The sequence below is a fragment of the Homo sapiens genome, chromosome 9, assembly GCF_000001405.40.
Source record: "Homo sapiens chromosome 9, GRCh38.p14 Primary Assembly".
In the NCBI taxonomy this organism is placed as follows: Eukaryota; Metazoa; Chordata; class Mammalia; order Primates; family Hominidae; genus Homo; species Homo sapiens.
Window position 1 is genome coordinate 120,406,119 of NC_000009.12, and position 23,087 is coordinate 120,429,205.

The following is a 23,087-nucleotide window of genomic DNA, read 5'->3' on the forward strand; positions in this document are numbered from 1 at the left end:
AGGTGCTCCTTAAGAGATTTATTTTTATTTTTTTAACTAGAGGTATCCAAGTAAAAGTCAGTCCAAACTTTAGTACAATACTTGCTTGTAAAGCAGGCTGGCATTCCTCATCCCACTGGATACACACATTTACCCTATGGGTGTCAGGATGATAATCCCAGGATACCCAACGCTCCAGAGAGTCCAGTGGGGTTTAGGAACAGCCCTGGACTCGAAGCTGGAAATGGTTTCTAGCTCCAGCTCTGCTGCCTACTTGCTGTGCCACTTTGGGCAAGCCCCATCCACTCTCTGGGCCTTTGTTTTTCATCTCTAGAGCAAAGAGGACAGGCTGCCTGATTGCTTGGAGTCTAACCATTTACTGGTTTGCTCCACACCCTGGGTGGGCGGGTGGTAGAGGTGTCTGGTCCTCTTTCTCGTACCCCCCACAGCCTCTCCAGGGCTAGGCAATTAACCTGCACACAAATGCAAAACAGATCCACTTTTTAAACCTATCAGGATGATTTTCAGATCCTGAAAGACACTGAAAGCCAGATTAAGATGTTTAGGTTCCCTTCTAAAGGCAGTAAGAGAAACTAAAAGAAATTTCAGCATCAAAGTGATGCAGGCAGGACTAAATGGATAGGAGGGAGCAAGGCCAGAGGCACTGAGGGTGTCTGGAAGTCCAAATTCCACTTCCCTGAGAATCAAGATGCCTCAGATGGAGATTACGCCACTTTGCCCAAGGTGACCGCTAATTAATTAGCAGTCAGGTCCCCTGGCTCCTAGGGTACAGCATGTCAGCTATCAATGGAAAGACACCTCTGTGGGGCAAAGGCATCATTCAGAAGTTCACATGTCACACACAGATGCTCAGAGCTGCATTCTCAGCAAGTGGGGAGAGGCAGGGGCAGTACCGTGTTTGTCAGGCTGAAGGGGCACCTCAGGGATGGACACGGCTTGGACAGCCAGAGTGAGGGCTCCTTCCTGTGCCTTCTCTGCCCCCCTTGCCAGCTGTTCCTTGAGCCTGCTCTGCAGAGTGCTGCTGGTTTCGATGCTCCTTTCTAGTTGCAAGCGCAGAGCCTGGATCTCCATCAGGAGGCTGTGCAGGTCCCTGAAAGGATCCTGCCCCTTCCAGCCTTCTCCCGACGCCTCTGAGGACATGTGCAAAGAGAAGCCCTGACATCTTCCACAACCAAAGGGTCAGCCATCGAAGGAACTCAATCGCATTTTACACTCACCACCACCATCGCCCTCCCCCTTCCTAAGAACTAGGTACAGTTTAAAATAACAACTTGACTTTAGAAACAAAAATATTGGCAGACTTAATTGCTGCTATTCCACACGCTAAATAAGAGCTGGAAATTAATTTTCGCTTCTGGCCATAAAAGCCTAGCAAATTGCACACCAAACCCCGAAATTATGTCTAGTAGTAATAAAATCTATTTGGGCTAGAATTATAGAATGAAAGGGGATGATTTTAAGAGCCACACTATATTAAAAAGACACAACAGCAAGAATAAAAAAAGCAAGTTGAGGAGAAAATAAAAGCTGTGAGATGACCCCTTTCTAGATAAACTTTCAATAGAGAGAAACCATCTGGAAAATTAGTAAAATAAAAAAAAAAAAAAAACACCTCACCACACCTCAAAATTGATTCTGAAACATTAGACGTTATAGTTGAAGCACTCTGAGCTGGTATCTCTCCTGGGATACAGAGAGCAACGAGGCCAACAACCATCCCCAGAGCAATGCCCAGCACGTGAGAGGTGTCCATAAATGTTTGCTGAATGAGTGGGCAAAAAGTAACATATACTAGCAGGACGATTATAATAAAGGTCATTTCCTGGGTGCCTACTATGTGTCAGGTATCTTGCTAGGATGCTTTTAATAAATGGTCTCATTCAATTTTCAACACAATTCTCCACACAACAGGTGCTGAGAGACATGTTTTACAGAGATAGGTATGGGCTCAAAGGGTGAAGTGGCCTACTGAGGGTCACATAGCTGGGAACAAGTGAGTGGGAACCCGGACCTCGGCTGGCCTGGGTGCTGAGCCTCAGTCCTTCTATGTTTCCTGCTGTTCCTTCAGAAGAAGAGTGGGTCAAAGAGCTAGCTTCAACACCCATCCACTCTACCCACAAGGCCAGAGTGGAGAGGGCTGAGCTCTGCCCTCCTGTGCCTACAGCCAGCTGTCGGGTGGTCTTACAGCCCAAAGCACAGTAGCCTCAAGGTGAGAAGGGCCTCAGTACCTCTCAGTCTCCTGTGCTCTTCATCCAGCTTCTCATACGCCTTCAGCTCCACTCGGAGAGACTGCAATAGCTTGTCATTCTGTGAGAGCAGCTGCTGCCTCAACTTCACCTCCTCCTGCACCCTGAGAAGGCCCCACAGGCATGAGAAGGACAGGTTAATTCTACCTCAGGGTAACTTATTCAAACCCCACAGAGCAGGCCAATTCCACCCTCAGTCACAAGAGTGTGGACCAAGAAGTGACAAGCATGGTTAAGAATTCCATGTGCTCTCTAATCCTAATTCCACTCCTCTGCTCAGAATCTCCCAGTGGCTTCCCATGCCACTCAGAGGAAAACCCAAAGTCCTCACACTGACTCTGCAGCCCGATGTGATTTGGTATCCTGCCAGCCCCCTCTCCAGATACACTGCCCTGCTCTGTCCGGCACAGGCCTAAGCCACTTTGCCTCAGGGCCTGCGCCCATTCTGCCTGAAATGATCTTTCCCAGGTAGCTGCAGCACTCACCTCCTCACTGCATTCAGCTCTCTGAGCAAATGGCATCTTTTCACAAAGGCCTTCCCTGACTCACCCTTGACAAAAAACAGCAACCCACTGCCAAGCCCTCTCCTCCTTACAGGATCTTTCTCCATATGTTGTAGGCGCACCAGACGTACAATGTGTTTGTGTCTACTGCCTGCCACTGTGCACTAAGGCAGAGGCCTGCGTGCTGATTCCACGACTGCAGCCCAGTGCCTGCATGCGTGGTACGGCCAGCAGGCCACCAGGGAAGCACAGCCACTACCTGCTCAGCTCCTGGCCGCTGCAGCGGACCTCCTGGATCAGCTGCTGGTTGTGTCTCTCCTTCTCGCTGCCTTCTTTCTGCAGCCTTTCATTTTCTTCCTTCACGCTGGCATACTCCCGCTGAAGGTGCTCCAGGCTCACGGTCTTCCTGGAGAGGGACTCTCGTAATTTGTCATTCTCCTTCTGTTTATCTGCAAACATAAAAAGGTGCCACTGAGAAGGGCCACCATTTGTTTTTTCCAACCTTATTATATAAATACAGCACTTCAAGAATACAAAAAAGAATGAGATTCGATCTGGCATTTATGATTTTGGCATTCCAATTATCTTACACACTTTGGGCAGATAAATTTGTCAACATCAAGGCTGCAGATTAAACGTCACTGGGATAAAATGGGCCTGTTTAATTTTCTATTAAAGAACAGGCCATGCAAACCTAGTTACTTTGCCTTCACAGAGCAAACAGTGGGTAGGAAGTACAGAGGAAAACACAGGGCCCAGAACTCTGGGAATGGGTGCTGGCCTGGCCGCAGGCCTTCTACCAGCCTAGCACCAGGAGGCCGGCAGGGCTGTGCAGATGGCACCTTGAGGCCCATTCACTCCTCAGGCTGAGGACAGCACCTCTCCTGAGGAATAAAATACACCCAGAGGCACAAGAGACACTGTGGTCAAAAGCAGGGGGCTGGGGACAGAGAGGCCACATTCAAGAGCAGCTTCTCCATTTACTGACTTCATAACCTTGAGTGAGGCTCTTCACTTCTCCACGCCTGTTTCCTTACATGTGTTATTGTGTGGATTCACTGAGATGCCATCTATAAAGGGTTTATCACAGGGAGTCAGGAGCACTCTGGGGGCTGGAAGCTTCATAAGGACGAGTTCCCAGCAGTGCTGGTGGTGGTAACAGTTGACCTGCACCAGCACTACCTGTGCAGGTGTGACATTAGGGCCTTCTCATGCATCGCCCTATTTAATCTCCAGGGCCGACTTCCAAGGCAGGCACTATTATTCTCCGTTTTCCAGATAAGAGACTTCCCTAAGGTCACACAGCCAGTAGGTGGCAGAACCAGAATTCGGACTCAGTCTGATTCCATTCTTAAACACAACAAGATAATTTCTAAGCAAGCATTCACCTCCTCCCTCAAGCGCCAGACACATCATGCTGCCTACCCTTCCTGAACGGCCTAGACTCTCCTCATTGCTAACCCCTGGGACTTTGTCTGCTCTCTTCCTTCTATTTAAAAGGCCCTGGCTCCTCTCAATCTTCAGCACCTTCGCTAAGCCCTCCTCATCCTCCGTTCTTGAAGGCAAGCTTTTCCTGAGTCAGGATGCCTTCTCCAGGGTCCTGCAGTTCCCAGAGCCTAACTTTATCGTGGCTGAGGTTCACACTGGTCTGCCAAGATTGTTTGGCTGTCTCTCCCATCAGACTATGAGCTCCCTGAGGGAAGGGATGAAATCTCATCCGTTTCTGTATCACAGTCTACACGGCCCTGAAGTAACACAGGAGATAGGAAATGTTGCTGAGTGAATGAGTGACTGACAGAGGCCCCAATTTCATCTCTTAAGCCAAAAGGAGCATCAATATCCTTTTAGGAAAAGTGGGATAAGCTGGCCCAAGTTCTAGCTCTACCACATTCTAGCTCTGTGACCACAGGCCAGGCAATTCCCTAGGCCTCAGTTTCTCACCTGTCAAATAGGGCTAATGATACCTCATCCCAGAACTGTTTTCAGTAGTGAAAGATAATGTAAGTGAAAGCTCTTTGGGAGCCAAGCTCCAAATAGAAGGAATTAAGACAAGCGATCTTTATAAGAAGTACAGGATAAACTTTGCTGATAGTAGGAAATCACTAATTGAGATTTTGGCAGTATTATATTTCCAGCCCTTCTTTCTTCCACTGTGAACTAGGATGAGAGACACGTGGCTACAGGGGAGATGAGTGACAAGCAAATAAAGTAACATTTACTGAGCCCCTATTAGAGACACTGTGCTGAGAGCTTTACACCGTTCAACTGTCACAACAGCCCTATGAGATATTCCTGAACCTCTCTGATTCCAGTATTCTCAGCTATAAAACAGAAACACCTCACAGGGCTGCTGTGACAATTAAATGGTGTAAAGCCATCACAGAGCCACAGGATTCATACTTAGGTTGGTCAGACTCCAATGCCTGCATTCTTTCCATGACACAGAAGGCTTTGGCGTTCCAGACTTCCAGTGACTCCTTTAACTCTTACCTCTGGATCCTTTAATGAGCATTGCATTGAGGGCCTGGTTCTGCTTCCTCAAGAAATGAATTTCTGATGTTAGAGAACTATGAAGCTCTGAACCAGAAGCAAAAATGCTTGTAGAACCTATAAAAACACACATAAAAACTGATTTATAAACAGTCTCCAGATCAGTATAGACAGAACTTTCTAGAAAGCAGTTTTAAACAAAGAGTTAACACAACATACAATGAAAATCCCTCCTGTTAACTATGTTAGGAATTACCAGAAGCCAAAGAGAAATGAGAGTAAGCTTGAAAGAGGGGGCAGGAAGGGCTCCCCCACATCTTACCTAAGGGAGAACAAAGCAGAAGACCTGGGCCAGGAGTGGGATGAGTGAGTGAGAGTCTTCACCTTCACAGATGTCTTTCCCGAGGTCAAAATTCATATCCAGCTGCCTGCCGCGCCTCACCACTGAGGCAGCTCTGTCACTCAGTCCTCAGAGCCAAAGCTGAACTCCTTATCCTTCCAAACCTGCTCTCTCTCACCTGTTTCCTGCCTCAGGAGATGGTATCGCCACAATCCCTAACCTAAGCTAGAAAGCTGGGAGCCATTCTAAACCCCTTTCTCTTCCACTGCCCAGTCAAGCAATCATGACTGCTGCTGCTTCCTCCAAAATGCTTCCAACACTGGCCTACTCTTTTCCGTCCTAAAGTTCAGGCCTTATCACTTTACTCTCTAACCTTGCCTCCCGGCTGTTCTGCCAATGGGGTTATTATCCTAAACAAATTCCATTTAAGTTACTCTCTACTCAAAAACATCTGATGGCCCATCATGGCAAAAGACAATCACACAACAAAACACAAGGGCCAACTTCTCTGTCTAGATACCTCTATTTCACAGGTAACATTCACATTCACGGCCACCCTCAGGAAAGTGCCTACTGTGTGCAAGGTGCCTTCTCTATGTGGCAGACAGATGCTTCCCTCCCTGTCCTCCACACTCACTGAGTCCACTTACTACACCACAGAGCCAAAATGCCAGATTCCTGCTTTCCTAGCCACCCTGCAGTGAGGACATGGTCACGTGCCACCTCTGGCCAATTGGGCCTGACAGGAAGTCTGCTGGGAGCTTCTGGGAAAGATTTTCCACCAGGATGAAAAGAGGACAGGAAAAAGCCCCACCTTCTTCTTTCCCATGCTCTGGACGCTGTCTGAGAGACTGGAATGCTTGTACTACTGCAGTCATCACAGATACTAATCCAAACTTTGCTGTCACTGAGCCATAAACCTGCCTTGGAACTCCCTGCCTCTGGGTTTCTTGTTACATGAGAAAACACAAATCCCTGTTGTTACCATCAGTTGCTACTCCCATTCTGTTGTCTGCAGCTGAAAGCATCCTGGCACACAACTGAATACCTATCCTATTCAAACTCCTTGTAGGGAAGGTACGGCATCAGTTCTCCAAGGAGCTGACAGTCCTTCCACTCTACAGCACTACCTTTTTCTCATGTTAATGATTCACTTACCGCAAGGTTATCTAATTGTTTTACTCACTATGTCTCACCCCACCATCTTCCTCCACTCTCCCCTGCGAACTCTGGTATCTTTTCAGAGACACCTGGGTTTGAACCATGGCTCTGGCTTAATAGCTGCATGACCTCAGGCAAATCGCATCACTTCCCTAAGTCTCCATTAACTCAATAAAAAGTTACTGCTATTACCATTTGTATTACTAAAACAATTAATGATAGACTGGACCCAAAATAGCACCAAAAAGTAATGTGAACAGCAGGAAAAAATCTACAGAAGTCTACCACAACCAAAGCTAAGGTGGTAGCTTTGGAGGCAGTATTTCTTGGCAAAGAAATAGGCCAAAGAACAGTTCCTGACCGACCTAAACCTGAGCTAGTGAGATCCACTTCCGATGCTAGGAGGCCATTCTTTCCTCTGAGGGTCATCACTATCAGCCTGTACAAGTAGTGACAAGCTGGAAGCTCTAACACATGAGAGGCCGGTTTTTAACAATATTCCACCTCGATATTGTAAGAAGCCATACCTTTCTCAGGCCTGCTCCCCAAGGTAAACATTTCACAGCAGGGGGAGGCGGAGCCACTTTTATTCCTTTGTATTCCTTTGTCTTTTCAGACATTGTGACAACATGGTGAGAACAGCACGTCTTTCCACCAGTGTAAATACTTTATGAATGCTTTTGTAAACCTTCCCGTCAGAGTGAATTACTCTCCAGAGCAATTGTCTGCTCCATTGTAGCTGGTGGCCATTTGAGCCCCCAAATAATTCTATAATTGGATTTGCCAGGGAAAATGTAAAACAGAATGAATCTAATTCAGGCATTACCAAGAGTGAATGTGAAGGGCCCAGGCGTGTATTTCTTTCCTGTGTTTGATACAACTAATAACTCAGATCAATCAATTTCCCTGAGGGTGAGGGGGGTATATGCAGGAAATGGGCGCAGTGAGCGAGGAGGGAGGAGGGAGGAGGGAGGAGGGAGGAGGGAAGGAGGAGGGAGGGAGAGGGCGAGATGGAGCCATTCGGTTTCCCTTGCAAGCTGCAGCATGCACGGTACTTGGGAAAGATGTCCCTCCCGGCTGGTAGCTATGATGGCTAGAGAAGAATGAGACCTGGACAAGGGTCCAAGGACTCGGGTGCTGCTGCCATGGGGCACTATCTTTCCAGAACTCAATTCTACCATCTCTAAAAATGGGAATGACATTAGAGTCCCTGCCCATTGCAGAGCTTTGCAACGTTATACAGAATAAAATAGTAAAATAAAATTGATAATGATGATAAAGGCAACCATTTACTGAGTGAGGCACTGAGCAAGGCCCTACTCATAACATTGCCTCATTTAATCTCGCAATGACCCTGTTCTATGAAACAATTAAGACTGGGAGAAATGAGTATATTGCTCAACGTCACAAAGCTAATAAATGGGACAGCAGGGTCCACACTCCGGCCAGTTCAACCAGACAAACTCGGGCTTTTCTGAGTGCGCCAAGCTGCTTTCAAGATACATGCTTTACGGAATGAGGAACTCTCTCTAGAGCAATAAGGAAAGATGTCCAAGATTTACTGCTCCATGACAAATGGACAGAATCATGGATATAGAGTACGTTACCTCTGGGATGAAGAGAAGAGTAAGAATATATGCTGGTATTTGCATTTAAAAAAACACTGTTAAGGATACAGAAGAAAAGAAAAAAGTGGAGAAGAAGGAAGGGAAAACAGGGTTAATGGGTAAAGAATGGAGGTTTAAATTTTTTGAAGCACATGAATGTCTTACCTATGCCAGCGGGGTGGCGGGGAGTGGGCGGTAATGTTTTTAAGTTCTTCATGGACGATCACTCTATTCGGAGCTAACTGTGTTTATGCAGGAATATGTGTGATCTTTAGACTGGCATGTGAAATTTACCAGATTGCTAAAATGCTGATATTTTTATAATCCATTATAGATGAAAAGACAATATATTGCTTTGTTTTATCTTAAAATTCCTATCTATTTCTCTCCAGCTTCCAAAGTTAAATGAGATGCCAGTCACAATTCAGGATGCCAGAGGCTGGCAGACTTCTCCAAGATGGAAAAATGAACATTTATCAAGCACCTGCTTTGTACACAGATGCTTACTCAGGCAAATGCGTCACAGTGAAGCACTCACAGACATGTACAGTCCTCCAGGAAGGTCTTTCCTTACCTTGAACAAATTCAGATCCTTGCCGTTCCAACTGTTTCCGTAGCTTCTCATTTGTTTTAATAGATTCTTCTAAACGCTTTCTCAAAGTTCGAATTTCCTGTATGTGTTCCATTAGTAAGTCTACAGGAAGGAAGCCATTTTTAATTTAAAGTCTGAACCCCCAACAAATTGAATAATTTATGGATTATGCAGGGATCCTGAAATTCCAAACAGTATTGGATGTGTTAAGATGGTTAGCAACTGGCAATTCTTTCCTAGGCATGGGGAGGGTGAGCTATTTCCCACAGCCCACAGACACACTTCTGTAATGATTCTCTGCAGCCCTCCATGAGGAAGATATTTTACATCACATAGAAAAAATTATATTCCATACAATTTTAATGCTAACTCTAATGTAGCCTTTTATTCTTCCAAATATCAAATATTAATTTAAAATCTTCCTTATGGTGAAACTAACAGATCACTTTCAAGTCTGCTTGAATTGCCTGAGAGTTGATTAAACTACCTTCATAATGAATCCAGATATTTTCGAGACTAATTTTTTGAAAGGAATATGTTATCCATTTATCATTTACTAATTTAAGACTTAAATAAAGCAAAACAATGCTAGTGAGAATGGTAATAAGAAAAGTGATCTCAACAGAACATCTTATTAGCATGAGTATAAATGTGTATGACCTTTTGGGGCTACTTCTATACTTAGCCTTAGAAAAGTTATTTTCCAATGTCTTTTACCAAATAATTCAACTCTTAGGACTCTATTTAAAGAGACCACCAGAGATGCTGACAAGCGTTTGCCAGAATGGAGGAAAAGGTTCACCTTAGCACTGGATGTAACCATAAGAACTGAAGTAACTCCAAATGTAACTGTAGTACATTCATGATGATGCAGTATTACATAGCTATTAAAATTATGTTATGAAGACTATATATCATAAAAAATATACTAAATCTTAGATCCAAGATTGATAACATAATCACAACTTATAGAAAAAAAAAATTCAGTTTCTCCCATACACTCACTCAACAATCAACACAGAAGACTTCTGTGACCACATGTGAGGGTTTTTTCCCCCACAGACTAAGCAAACAGTTCTGCAGCAGACACCGGCCGGGCGTCCTCTAATTCAGTTGGACCTGAAGATAGCGTTAGATCCACAGGTTGAGGCTCAGTCCCAAGACTGCCCCTCCAACAACTTCTGAGGCCAATCGCAAGCCCCCAGTTGTTTCACCTGTGCCTCTGACCAACTGACTAAAAATTCGGTTCCCTCACCCGCCTCCTGGGGTTGGATTAATTTGCTAGACCAGCTCAAAAACTCAGGGAAACATTTGCTTATGTTTACTGGTTCATTATGAAGGATACTGCAAGGAAGACTAAATATATACTTCACAATATCACAGAACTCTACTTAAAAATTTGTACAGACAAGGAAAGACACAAATATGTGAAAGAAGGAAATATATCTAAATATTAATAGCAGTTGCCTTTAGGTGGCAGATTTTAGATTTTTCAAAAATTCTATATTACATTTTAACATAATACTTAATAATACACAACATTTTAAATTTTCCAAAATGAGCATGTATTTGTTCAGCCTCTGCCACATCTCACTTTAACAAAGAAAGAAGAAAGCACAATTCCAATCCAGGGGTAGGTTTCTAGAATCAGTGTTTAAAGCATCATCACATTAAGTATCCAAAGGCAAAACTAATGTCTTTAATTTATCAATTAGGGTATACTCAGTATATCTTAGTAATGTTTGTTTTAAAACATTACACTAATGTTATGACCCAGTTTTAATTCCTCCAAAATGACTTTCATTTAAAAGTAGCACAGTGTTACAGATCTTTTCCTAATTAAATAGTAATTTTACCATGAATTTGAATGTTTATGAGATGACTTAATTCCCAGACCTTCAGCTATCTCCTGCTAATGCCAGAAATGTGGCAAGTAATTTGGTGGAATGTCGTAGCTCTCGCTGCAGCACAGCACAGAAGGACTCTTGTCTGCAAAAAGCTACTGGCACCCACGGCACTGCATCTCCACGCTCCTTAAACTCCTGGCACCCACAGCACTGCACCTCCCCGCTCCTTAAACTGCTGGCGCCCACGGCACTGCACCTCCCCACGCCTTAAACTGCTGGCGCCCACGGCACTGCACCTCCGTGCTCCTTAAATTCCTGGCGCCCACGGCACTGCACCTCTGCGCTCCTTAAACTCTAGGTGCCCAGGCATTGCACCTCCACGCTCCTTAAACTCCGGGCGCCCACAGCACTGCACCTCCCCACTCCTTAAACTTCTGGCGCCCACGGCACTGCACCTCCACACTCCTTAAACTTCTGGCACCCATGGCACTGTACCTCCTTGCTCCTGCCTTGGTGCCCTGCAAATCTTCCTCCAGCAGCTAGTCAGGTAGGAGTCAGTCAGGAACTTTTCTGTTTGACTGCAACCTTCCTTGCTGGTTTATCCAAGTCACACACTCATGACTGTGAGAAGGGGACATAAATGCTTAGCAGCAATCGAAACATGCCATCTTCCACTGAGTCTTTGGCCAGGAGGCGGAATCATCACTTGGGCTTAAGGAAACATTCCCAGTTGAACTGGACACCACTTATTAATTATACAGCCAAACTGAAGAGAAGGAAACACTATACTAGCCTTTACAAAATGGGAGAAAAATCTCTCTCTCTTAGAATAATGCCCTTTTGACAAATGCTGACTTTTTAAAAACATAAATCCAATAAGCAACCACAAAAAAAAAAAGTGTGTATCTCTTGCCTAGCAGTTCCAATTTATAGAATCTGTATTAAGAAAAGCCCCCAAATAAGGGAAAAGCTTCACGTTCACAGATATCCCCTGCAGCATTGTTTACAATTGTGAAATCTGGAAATGACTTAAATGTTCAGCGACAGAGGAACAGAAGGAAAACTGCAATTCAGCCACTCAATGGACTATTCTAAAGCCACTAAAAATGATGTTATGTAATAACATGTCGGAAAGCTTAGGACAGAACGTTAAGTGAGAAAAATACTAAATTATCTCTCTACCGAATCATAAATATGACAAAAGACAAAAGAAAAACTAGATGCAGAGAGCAAAAGGCTGAAGACACACCAAAAAAGATGATGGTGGGCTTACTGGGATGACTCCAGGGAGCACTGCCCCAGTTCAGGTAACCCACTAAGAGGGCATCATAAGCCCAAGGTCATGGGTCCACAGAGGAGCAAGAAATAGAAGAAATGCCTAAAAGGTTCTACATTAGAAATAGAACAAGGTTGGGGTGGTGGACAGGGCGAAGGGTGGAAAAAGAGGGGCAGCCAAGAGGGAGCAGAGGGAACTGCCTAGTGAAAAGAATAGGGATCTCAAGAGTTCCCGTTTAAATAATTTGGGTTGCTGCATTGTAAACACCACTTTCCTTCTGGTTCCTCAATCAAGTCTGCACAAAGTCCTCGTGGGAGTGGTCTCTGGGGATTCCTGGAAAGTCACTGAGTTACACACTGAATGGATACAATACAGAAGAAGTGGCACTAGGGACAGGGAAACAATTCGTGGTGTGACCTAAATTTGGGAAAGGCAGAATGCAGAGCCAGAAATGACCAAGAAAAACCAAGTACTCAGAAACTCACAAAAACTGCAAAGAGATACAGCCAGAAATCCAAAGAAACTAGGGCTAGATAACGCTGCTGGAGGACCCCAGCTGATACCTCAGTTACGCCAACAATGTGGACTTCACACTCTAGGTATGTCTTCTGTCTTCAAACTGGGCTCCTCTGAGTCCTGAGTGTCCTCAAGAAGACTCAGAGGCCACCATGGGACAAAGGCACCATACTTATCTCTTTTACACACTGCATGGGGCCGCTGTGAAAATTTTCACCTGCTAACTCAGTCCATGGTCGGAGGCAGAGCAAAGGTGTTATGGACTGAATGCTTGTGTCTCCAAAATTCCTATGTTGAAGCTCTAAGTCCAATGTAATGGTATTAGGAAGTGGGGGCTTTGGGAGATGATAGGACCATGAGGGTAGAGCCCTCACAGTGAGATCAGTGCCCTCATAAAACAGACCCCAGCTCTCTCGCCTTCCTTCTTGCATGTGAGGATACAACCAGAAAATGGCAGTCTGCAACCTGGAAGAAGGCCCTCACCATGCTGGCTCTACCCTGATCTTGGACTTCCTAGCCTTTAGAACTGTAAGAAATAAATTTCTGCTGTTTATAAGTCACCCATTCTATGGCGTTCTGTTACAACAATCCAAATAGACTAAGACAAAAGGCCTGACCCAATGGGCCATGGGTCACACTAAAGGAAAACAAAGTAGATTCCTACAATCACAAATGTTGTATTTATATAAAAATATCAGAACAGGGGGCTAGATACTCTTGGGCAACTCAAAGCAGAAGAGTCTCTGAAATGACCCTGCCTTAGGATGAGTTTGAAATAAACAATAGGAAATTAACCAAATCTGCACTGACATACAAGTTCAATGACACACAGCCTGCAGGAAATGGCAAGTCACATATTAAGTCGTCATTTAAAAAATAAAAATGGCTTTTCCCCAATCGCCAACACTTTCAACAACCATAGCTTTCTCTAGTGATAAAGGATACTCTGAATGACCAGCATTGGCCCTAATGGGATCTCCTTTCATCAGAGAAATACTCAAATGTCACCACACTCTGCTTACTAAGGTTAAGATGGCAAATTATTGTTTTAATCAGGCCATGTTTAAAACACTTAATGAGGCTTAGCTTACCTTGAGAAAAACTGTTCACCATAACTGAAGTCTTCTCTGTCTCATTATCTTGCTTCTGGTCTCGTGAGAAGAAGGACTTTTCAGATGTTTCATAATCAGAGAGCGCATGAGAGGCTGAAGGCTCAGGAGATTCAGGCAGAAGATGTTGGTAGGTTAAGTTGTCTTCCTCAATCCTTAACCATTGAGATTGAAAGATAAATCATCTCCCATGCTAAAATCCCAAGCCAGGACTATGACTTACGAATACTTACGATTACTTTACTCTTAGTAACTCCCCAATGTTTGCAACTTCAGTCAGACCTTTTATTTCCCTACAGCATTAAGCAATGACATTCTAAAAGCAAGAAAGGCTCAGTGCGCTTGAGTTTGAAGCCAACAAGGGGAAGCAGGGGATTGTGCCTGTCCCACAGCATGGCTTACAGGGGAGGGACCCAAGAGGACTTGGGTCGACGGCAGCTGTTTACCAAATAACCTCTCTATACCAAGCATTTGAGATTTTAGTTGGGCCTCACAGAAACCCTTTGAGGTAGGGATTACTATCCTCATTTAGACTGGGGGAACTGGGGCTCATCATAAACTGGCCCACTGTCTCACGGCTTGGTCAGAGGCACAGTTTAGATTTCAACCAGGCCTGCCTGGCTCCAAGGCCCCAGGAGAATGTGAGAGCCCAGCCCAAAACCATGAGATGGCCTATGGATTTAAAAATCTCAAAACTCTCATGGTTCCCAAGCAGGTTTCAATATCGTTATTCTAGCAATCATCTGGTTATTAACCTGTATTTCCCAAGGACCACCTAAGCCATGAGAAAAAAAAAAAATGCTGTGAAAAGCCCACATGAATCTCCATTAGAGATAAACTCCTTAATTGATGCTCTTTTTTTCTCCCACGTCTTCCTATTACTTCTTGTCAACAGCCACAGTCTCATTATTCATGAGCTCAGACAACAGCAAAGACTCTAAGGCTGCAATGCATTCATTAACAGGTAAACACCTGATGCAACTTTGCCCAGACAGTGTGATGGATGCACAGGCTTGCTGCTGGCTTGCAGAAGTGCAGCATGGGCCAAGGGCACCCACTTAATTGACTTAGAAGTGGCCCAAGTTAAACTACAGTTGAGAGAGGCAGAACAGAAGGAAAAAAACAAATCTGTCAGAAATGAAAAGGAGTGGCACATTGGTTGAGGAGGCTAAAGAGGTTCCATCCCTCACTCCAACTCCTTCTGCAAGCAACCCCAGCAGTCTTCCTAAATGGCAAATGTGATCATGTCTAGTCCCAGCTTACCTTCCTTCGAAGACTCCCTACTTCCTATAGAATAGTGTTTGGACTTTTAACACATTTGAGGACCAGCCCAACAAGAACCAGCCTGCCTCTCCAGCTTTGACCCTCTATGTGCCAGCTACATGCTCAAAGGGACCGTGTCTCCTTTGCCTCAGGCTTGGACATTCTCCTGACAGCCCCCAGCCCCTTCAACTCTCACCCTTTAGATCTCAGCTAAGAATGGCCCCACTCTGGGAAGCCTTCCTTGCCCTCTCTAAAGCATGCCAGTGGGATGTGATCTATTATTATAAGAATGGAAGTGGAGGATTGAATTGGGAGGGATCTTTGACAATGCTGCAATGGGAGAAGAGTATTTCTTTTAAATTTGCAAAAGCCCTGATTAAAACTCCTCCTGTGAGCTGTGATACCTCTCTGCCCACTCGCTCTAACGATGCAAGTGCCCTTCGTGATGCCAATAAAATCTACAAGTCTGCACCCTAGACTGGTCTCTATTTTATTCCCAGAAGCCCAAAGGACCACATCTTTAAAGAAGAGGAAAGTACACAGCAACAATAATAGCATTCAGAATCTTTAACAACTAAATAAAGGAGGGCAAGACCTTGGCATTTTCAGTTGGCCATAGACACAAGCTAAGAAATTATACAATTCATGTATTCCATGATTATTTTCTGATCTCCAACTACATGCCAGCAACTTGGAGCTGGAGCAGGTAGAGATATTCAAGACATAGGCTTTGCCCTCAAAAGACAATGTGGAATAACAGGAAGAGGACATGCATTGGATGGAGTGTGACAGATTCAAGTTCAAATCCTAGCTCTGCCTTGTAATGGCAAATATGCAACTCTGACCCACAGCTTCCTCATCCTAAAATAGTTACTTCAAACTTTATATGGTGAGAACTAGTAAATGTGAAATGCCTACAACAGCAGCTGACACACACCAATACCTAGTGAACACTAGCTAGCTCCTTTCCTCTTCCAAGGAACTCTGGGAATAGAAAGATAAATGTAGAAAGCATTACAATACCATGTGGTAAATGCTGTAATGTAATTATGTCCAAGTGCTACAGCAAGAATCACTGACGCTGGGATGTGGTGGAGAGGGAGGGTATTGGGGAGAACCAGGTTCATTTACATTTGAATGGACTCTGAAGAATGATTTTCGAACTTCAAGAGGAGGAAGGCAGAGTGCACAGCTATGGTGTGGAGAATAATACAAAGCCAAATAGGACTAAAACATGGGGTACATCAGGGGAAGGGAAGCGAGGAGAATGGGCAGGGGAGAAGAGAATTGGGGTCAGAATGAGAAAGGCCTCAAATGCCAGGCTAAGGAGTCTGGAGTTTATCTTGCAGGTATCTGGGAGCCAACAAATGAATATGTCATCTGGTTCAAATCACCTGATAGAGATGACACAAGTAACCTGAAATGAATGAATGAAAGCAACAGGACATATGGCATGAGCTCTTGGTTTTGTATGGCCATTGTCAGTTCCATAGATGTTTATACCTTATTTACAAGAAGCAGGAAACAAACAGAATGGGAAGGAGCCAAAATATTTTAAAAGCTGGCAGGTAAATCAGACCTAGAAAGTCCTGGGAAGTCTTCTTAACAAATGTTACACACTCACCTCTCCATCAGTTCATTCTGGGTGTTCATTTCCACTCCAACTGATTTTCCTGGAAGCAGAAATAACATCAAGAAAGGAGGAGAAAAAAATGTTTTTAAGTGTTCCCTAATAATTTCCTGCTCATACATTTGCAGAAGCACTATTCCACTTGTTTAAACACTCTGTAACAATCCTGGATATTTAAAGTAGGATTACCAAGAGTACAATTCAGACTATAGACTTCTCCTTTATCACTGCATTGACACTAGTGCTAGGTGACAGCACTGAATCTAAAAAGCAATCACAAGGTATTGCTGGTGCAGGTGTCTTTTTCTTTCTCTCAAACTCTGATACTAACAGAATATATGCTCATTACAGAAAATGGGTAACGGAATCAAAAAAAGATCAATATCCTGGCACTCCCACAGCCAAGTTACTGGATTTCTTTCCATTCTTTTTTTCATGCATTTTGGCATGGAAGATACCATATTACAACATAATTTTTTCACTTAGTATATTATTATTATAGCCATTTCTCTTACTAAATTTGCTTCCGAAACATCATTTTTAATGTCTGCGCTAATATTCCACTGTAGGCATGCATTACCACAATTTTGCCAGTTCTCTATTTGACACTTAGGTCATTTGCAAATTTTCACTTTTATAAACAAATAAAATAAGCATCTTTGTGCATACAGCTTTATCTGCATTTTAATTATTTCTTTAGGAAGGGTCTCAGAAGCAGGATTAAAACTAGGAAAAGGAGTACATGAGTACAGCTGAAAAACCCACTGTCTACAGCAGGGGAAATGATTTAAAAAAATGACAAAAGAAAACAAAATAAAGCTCAGAATGTAGCTGGGCAAAAGACGCTCTGCTCTCTTCCTGCATGTTATCATTTGCTGTTTGAAAGGAAGCACATGAGCCTAGATTTCAAAGAGACTAACAACTTTATTTTAAAAATACTTCAGAACCCTGGAAATTGCAGGCTGGGATGAGCTCTTTGAAGACACTGATGCGTGGCTAAAGAAAAAAACAAACTCTTCTACAGTTGTACTTGAAAAATGAGACTATAATTAAACTGCACCCACACATGCAATTTTCAAAACTATTCCTAAAAGGAAAAGTTCTCAAACACCACAGTATAGAGGAAAAGATCACTGAATCCTTGCACATTTGCTTTAAGTCTAGAAGTTCCCACCTACAAACTCACACGGCTGGCTGGTATGGCCATCCAGGTTCCCTATCGCCCACCAGGCCAGCCACCTGGGCACCAAGAGTCAGTGCAACATGCTAAGTGGTAGAAAGTCACCTACTATGGCAGGGCACTGTCACCATCAGAAATGAGTCACACAGGCCTGAGTGACCAGGCACCAGGGCCTGAGTATGGCTCTTTAATATCTACTATCTCCTTCAGGCCTCACAATGATCCTATGAGCACGGTGTTAGTACCTCTGTTTTAAAGCAAAGAAGTGGAAATCCAGGAGGTTTAATGTTTCAACTCTCCCTTTGTCTGATCACACTCTCCCTTACTTTACTACATTTTATAGTTAAGCAAGACAGATGGAGATATCCTTATAGCTACTTCAATCACAAACCTATGCCTCTTGGTTACATCCTGGCCAAAAATGGCATGGTATTTTGGCTTCTTGAAAGGTAGATAGAGGTTGACAGGCCTTCATCAGTGGATGCTCTCAAGACTCCACATTTCTGTCCTCTACAATCCTCTTCAAGGGGGAAATCCAAACCTGACTGAGTCAGAGTTCCAGACCTTTACTGGAAGAACCAGCTTGTAAGACCATCCCTAATGGGCAGGGACAACTGTGTGTTAAAAGAACAGCTTAGTCAACATTTTTCATCTCATACCTGCACTGGGCTGCTTACCAACATTCAGCAGATAAGACTAACCCTGCAGACCCTGAGAATGGACCATCAGTGCCAGCCCAGCCTTCCAAAAAGCTTAGGACTTATTCAGGTACTAGCCAGGCAAACAAAGTAACATGACATTCTGCTTCACATTCTCACAGCTCTTTTTTTTTTTTTTTTTTAATGGAGTCTTGCTCTGTTGCCCAGGCTGGAGTACAGTGACACGATCTCGACTTACTGCAACCTCTGCCTCCTGGGTTCAAGCAATTCTCATGCCTCAGCCTCCTGAGGAGCTGGGACTACAAGCACACACCACCACCATCAGCTAATTTTTTTGTATTTTTAGTAGAGTATTCACTGTGCTGGCCAGGCTTGTTTCAAACTCCTGGCCTCAAGTGATCCACCTGCCTTGACCTCCCAAAGTGCTAGGATTACAGGCGTGAGCCACTGCACCTGGCCACATTCACATTGTTCTTTAGTTGTATATCTTCCTCAGGAACTTCACAGGGTGGGGACCCTTGGTTTGGGGCAGGCTTTAAGCATTCCGGGTCTCCAGATCTTAGACCCATCAAAAACCTCTCCTCCATTCCTAACCAAACTCATGACCACACCAGGATGTGCCCTGATGCCACCAGCAGCATGAGTTTCCCCATCAAATAACAGACCCTCGAGGAGCTTGCAACAACTCAACAACAACTGTATTCCACCCGTTCCCCTATTATTATAACAGAATTCTTTAAAACCAAGTGACAAATAGTTACTGTAGGATTCACAGGGAGATCACAACAACTAATGCATTGAATTTCTGGGTGGAAACTGCCCTCACACAGGTAACAGGGTACCATCTGTCTGGCTATTCAAAAGCTTAGGATGCATGTCATGAAAATGCTGCTCCCATCTCTCAGGCAAATCTTGTTGCTACACCTAAGAGATGTGTAGTGTGAGACAATAGGAGGACTTCATCTTTTCAAATAAAAAACATCTAGTTATCCCATCCATAACTGAACAAGCAAGAGAAGACTATTATGCCAGACAAACTTACAACTGGTTGACCCAACTTCACTTTCCTCTCTGCACTGATCCATTCTGTACAGTGCTTAAGAAGCCACTTTTGAAACAGTACTTCCGAGCTCAAAATCCATCAGTCCTACAGAGTTAACTTCAAATGTCACAGCCTGGCATCTCCTACATGACCCAGATGTTTCTTCCTTTCCACCTCTCTAGTAATTGGTAGAAACTAATTCTATTTTAATATTTACAGTGCTCCACTCAGGTTCCTGTGCCAGACACTGAGGATACAGAGATGAATGAGGAGCCACCCTATCCTCAGTGAGTTCACCTGAGTGGAAAGGGTGGACCCAAAAGACAACTGCACTACACACTGTGATAAGGGGCCGCAACAGATGCTGTGGGAAGGCACACAGAGGAGACAAACAGAATCTGGCCTGGACCATCAAGGAACATTTCGGGGAGGTGGCAATGGAGCCATATCTTTGATGGAGGGAAGAACTGCTTTATAAAGATGGGAAGACACTTAAGGGACTCTGGGGAGGGCAGTTCCAGGGATTCTTAGGAGGAAAAACCCTCCATTTTCTCTGAAAGCCTGCATCACTCTGTTAACCATGACATGCATGCCCCATTATTATTGTTGCCACTGTAAGCCAAAAAGTATATGAGACAGATCTCAACCAGTTTTGGAGTTTATTTTGCCAAGGTTATGGATCATGACAGGTGACACAGCCCCAGGAGGTCCTGAGAACATGTGCCCAAAGTGACTGGGTTACAGCTTGGTTTTATATGTTTTAGGGAGACAAAAGATATCAATCAACATATGTGAGGTATACACTGGTCTGGTCCGGAAAGGCAGGACAACTCAAAGTGGGTGGCGGGCTTCCAGGTCATTGGTGGATTCAAACATTTTTCTGATTGGCACTTGGTTGAAAGAGTTATTATCTAAAGACCTGGAATTAATAGAAAGGAGTGTCTGAGTTAAGCTAAGGGGTTACAGAGACCAAGGCTTTTCTTATGTGGATGAAGTCCCAGAGGTGGCCATCCTCAGAGGCAAATATTTCCTATTCAGATCGTTAAAAGGTGCTGGACTCTCAGCCAATCTCTTCAGGATCAGAAAAGGAGAAAGGGAAGGGGATTCTCTATAGAATGTAAGTGTTCCCTACAAGAGACAGCATTTCAGGGCCATTTCAAAACATGTCAAAGAAATATATTTTGGGGTACAATACTTTGATTTCTTTCAGAGCCCTGCAATCTGTCATGTGATGCTATAATGGAGTCAGGTTAGAATTTGGTTTCTTATTGCTACAGAGTCTGTTCAGTCAGCCTAAGGATCTCTATTTTAGTGTTAATACTGGTCAGCTGTGTGCCAGCTCCAAAGGGAGGAGAGTATAATGAGGCATGTCTGACCGCCCCCCACTTTCCCATCATGGTCTGAACTAGTTTTTAAGGTTTTGTTGGGTTCCCTTAGCTGAGGGAAGGGTCCCCTCACCTAGCTGTAGGATTTACAATTTTAATTTTGGTTGATGTATCTTCCTGAGCTCCCCCTATTTGTCAAGGCAGGACACCCTTCAAATCAGGAGTGTCTATTGGGTTTTTTGTTTGGCCAGAAATTTAAAAATGAGAGAAATCAGGGGTGTCCAATCTTTTGGCTTCCCTGGGCCACTCTGTGTCTTGGACCACACATAAAATACACTAACAATAGCCAATGAGCTTAAAAAACAAAAAAATCCATAATGTTTTAAGAAAGTTTACAAATTTGCATTGTGCCACATTCAATGCCGTCCTGGGCTGCATGCAGCCCATGGGCCACGGATTGGACAAGCTTAAATAATGTCATTTCATTCTCACAAACATCTCTATAAGACAGGTACTGCTCTCCCCCATAGAGGAAATCTGGCCCTTCAAAGGATAAATGACCCACAAAGCTGGGATCTGAACTCCAGTCTGTCTGACTCCAAAGGTCTTGTTCTTTCTAACCCAACACCCTTGCAACAGCCTCTATCACAAACTCAGATGTGAATATCAAGTGCAAGCTATAAACAAACCGGGGGTGGGAGGGGGTGGAAAGAATAAATTTTGCTTCCACTTCAGGTGAACAAAGAAAGATTCCTGGAGGATAGGCAGAATTTCTCTAATTTCTCTAAGTGGAAAGGGAGTAGAAGTCTTACAGAAAAAAATAATGGTTTGAACGGAATCATGGAAGAGGGGAAATGCAAGGCCTGGCCCACAGAAATGTTTGATCAACAGAATATACATTTTTTTCAGCACCACACCATACCTATTCCAAAATTGACCACATAGTTGGAAGTAAAGCTCTCCTCAGCAAATGTAAAAGAACAGAAATTATAACAAACTGTCTCTCAGACCACAGTGAAATCAAACTAGAACTCAGGATTAAGAAACTCACTCAAAACCGCTCAACTACATGGAAACTGAACAACCTGCTCCTGAATGACTACTGGGTACATAACGAAATGAAGGCAGAAATAAAAATGTTCTTTGAAGCCAACGAGAACAAAGACACAACATACCAGAATCTCTGGGACACATTCAAAGGAGTGTGTAGAGGGAAATTTATAGCACTAAATGCCCACAAGAGAAAGCAGGAAAGATCCAAAATTGACACCCTAACATCACAATTAAAAGAACTAGGAAAGCAAGAGCAAACACATTTAAAAGCTAGCAGAAGGCAAGAAATAACTAAAATCAGAGAAGAACTGAAGGAAATAGAGACCAAAAAAACCCTTCAAAAAATTAATGAATCCAGGAGCTGGTTTTGTGAAAGGATCAACAAAATTGATAGACCGCTAGCAAGACTAATAAAGAAAAAAAGAGAGAAGAATCAAATAGATGCAATAAAGAATGATAAAGGGGATATCACCACCGATCCCAAAGAAATACAAACTACCATCAGAGAATACTACAAACACCTCTACGCAAATAAACTAGAAAATCTAGAAGAAATGGATAAATTCCTCGACACATACACTATCCCCAGACTAAACTAGGAAGAAGCTGAATCTCTGAATAGACCAATAACAGGATCTGAAATTGTGGCAATAATCAATAGCTTACCAACCAAAAAGAGTCCAGGACCAGACGGATTCACAGCCAAATTCTACCAGAGGTACAAGGAGGAACTGGTACCATTCCTTCTGAAACTATTCCAATCAATAGAAAAAGAGGGAATCCTCCCTAACTCATTTTATGAGGCCAGCATCATCCTGATACCAAAGCCGGGCAGAGACACAGCCAAAAAAGAGAATTTTAGACCAAAATCCTTGATGAACATTGATGCAAAAATCCTCAATAAAATACTGGCAAACCGAATCCAGCAGCACATCAAAAAGCTTATCCACCACGATCAAGTGGGCTTCATCCCTGGGATGCAAAGCTGGTTCAATATACGCAAATCAATAAATGTAATCCAGCATATAAACAGAACCAAAGACAAAAACCACATGATTATCTCAATAGATGCAGAAAAGGCCTTTGACAAAATTCAACAACCCTTCATGCTAAAAACTCTTAATAAATTAGGTATTGATCGAACGTTATCTCAAAATAATAAGAGCTATCTATGACAAACCCACAGCCAATATCATACTGAATGGGCAAAAACTGGAAGCATTCCCTTTGAAAACTGGCACAAGACAG

General features: G+C 43.6%; 1 protein-coding gene across 17 annotated transcripts in view, besides 1 other annotated feature; it reads right to left on the reverse strand.

The window, feature by feature from the left end:
- The window catches only part of CDK5RAP2 (CDK5 regulatory subunit associated protein 2), a 191,293-nt gene that overhangs the window by 17,244 nt on the left and 150,962 nt on the right, over positions 1 to 23,087 (reverse strand). For 10 of the 17 annotated variants that reach the window (NR_073558.2, NR_073556.2, NR_073557.2 and 7 more), the window contains 7 exons: positions 16,575 to 16,623; positions 13,670 to 13,842; positions 8,922 to 9,041; positions 5,240 to 5,356; positions 3,009 to 3,198; positions 2,229 to 2,350; positions 894 to 1,130 (listed from right to left, as the gene is read on the reverse strand). Coding sequence is in view for 12 of the 17 variants with exons in the window: in NM_001272039.2 (NP_001258968.1) it covers positions 894 to 1,130; positions 2,229 to 2,350; positions 3,009 to 3,198; positions 5,240 to 5,356; positions 8,922 to 9,041; positions 13,670 to 13,842; positions 16,575 to 16,623 (1,008 nt within the window). In the remaining 5 variants the exon portion in view is untranslated. The remainder of the gene's footprint in view (positions 1 to 893; positions 1,131 to 2,228; positions 2,351 to 3,008; positions 3,199 to 5,239; positions 5,357 to 8,921; positions 9,042 to 13,669; positions 13,843 to 16,574; positions 16,624 to 23,087) is intronic. The other 7 variants (XM_047423589.1, XM_047423587.1, XM_017014923.2 and 4 more) reach the window with 2 other exon arrangements.
- Positions 5,788 to 6,584: an enhancer, noted in NCBI's record as "NANOG-H3K27ac hESC enhancer chr9:123174184-123174980 (GRCh37/hg19 assembly coordinates)". NCBI's record gives its function as "activates a minimal SCP1, AML or CMV promoter by ChIP-STARR-seq in primed H9 embryonic stem cells {active_cell/tissue: H9 hESC(primed)}" and the evidence as "EXISTENCE:reporter gene assay evidence [ECO:0000049][PMID:30033119]".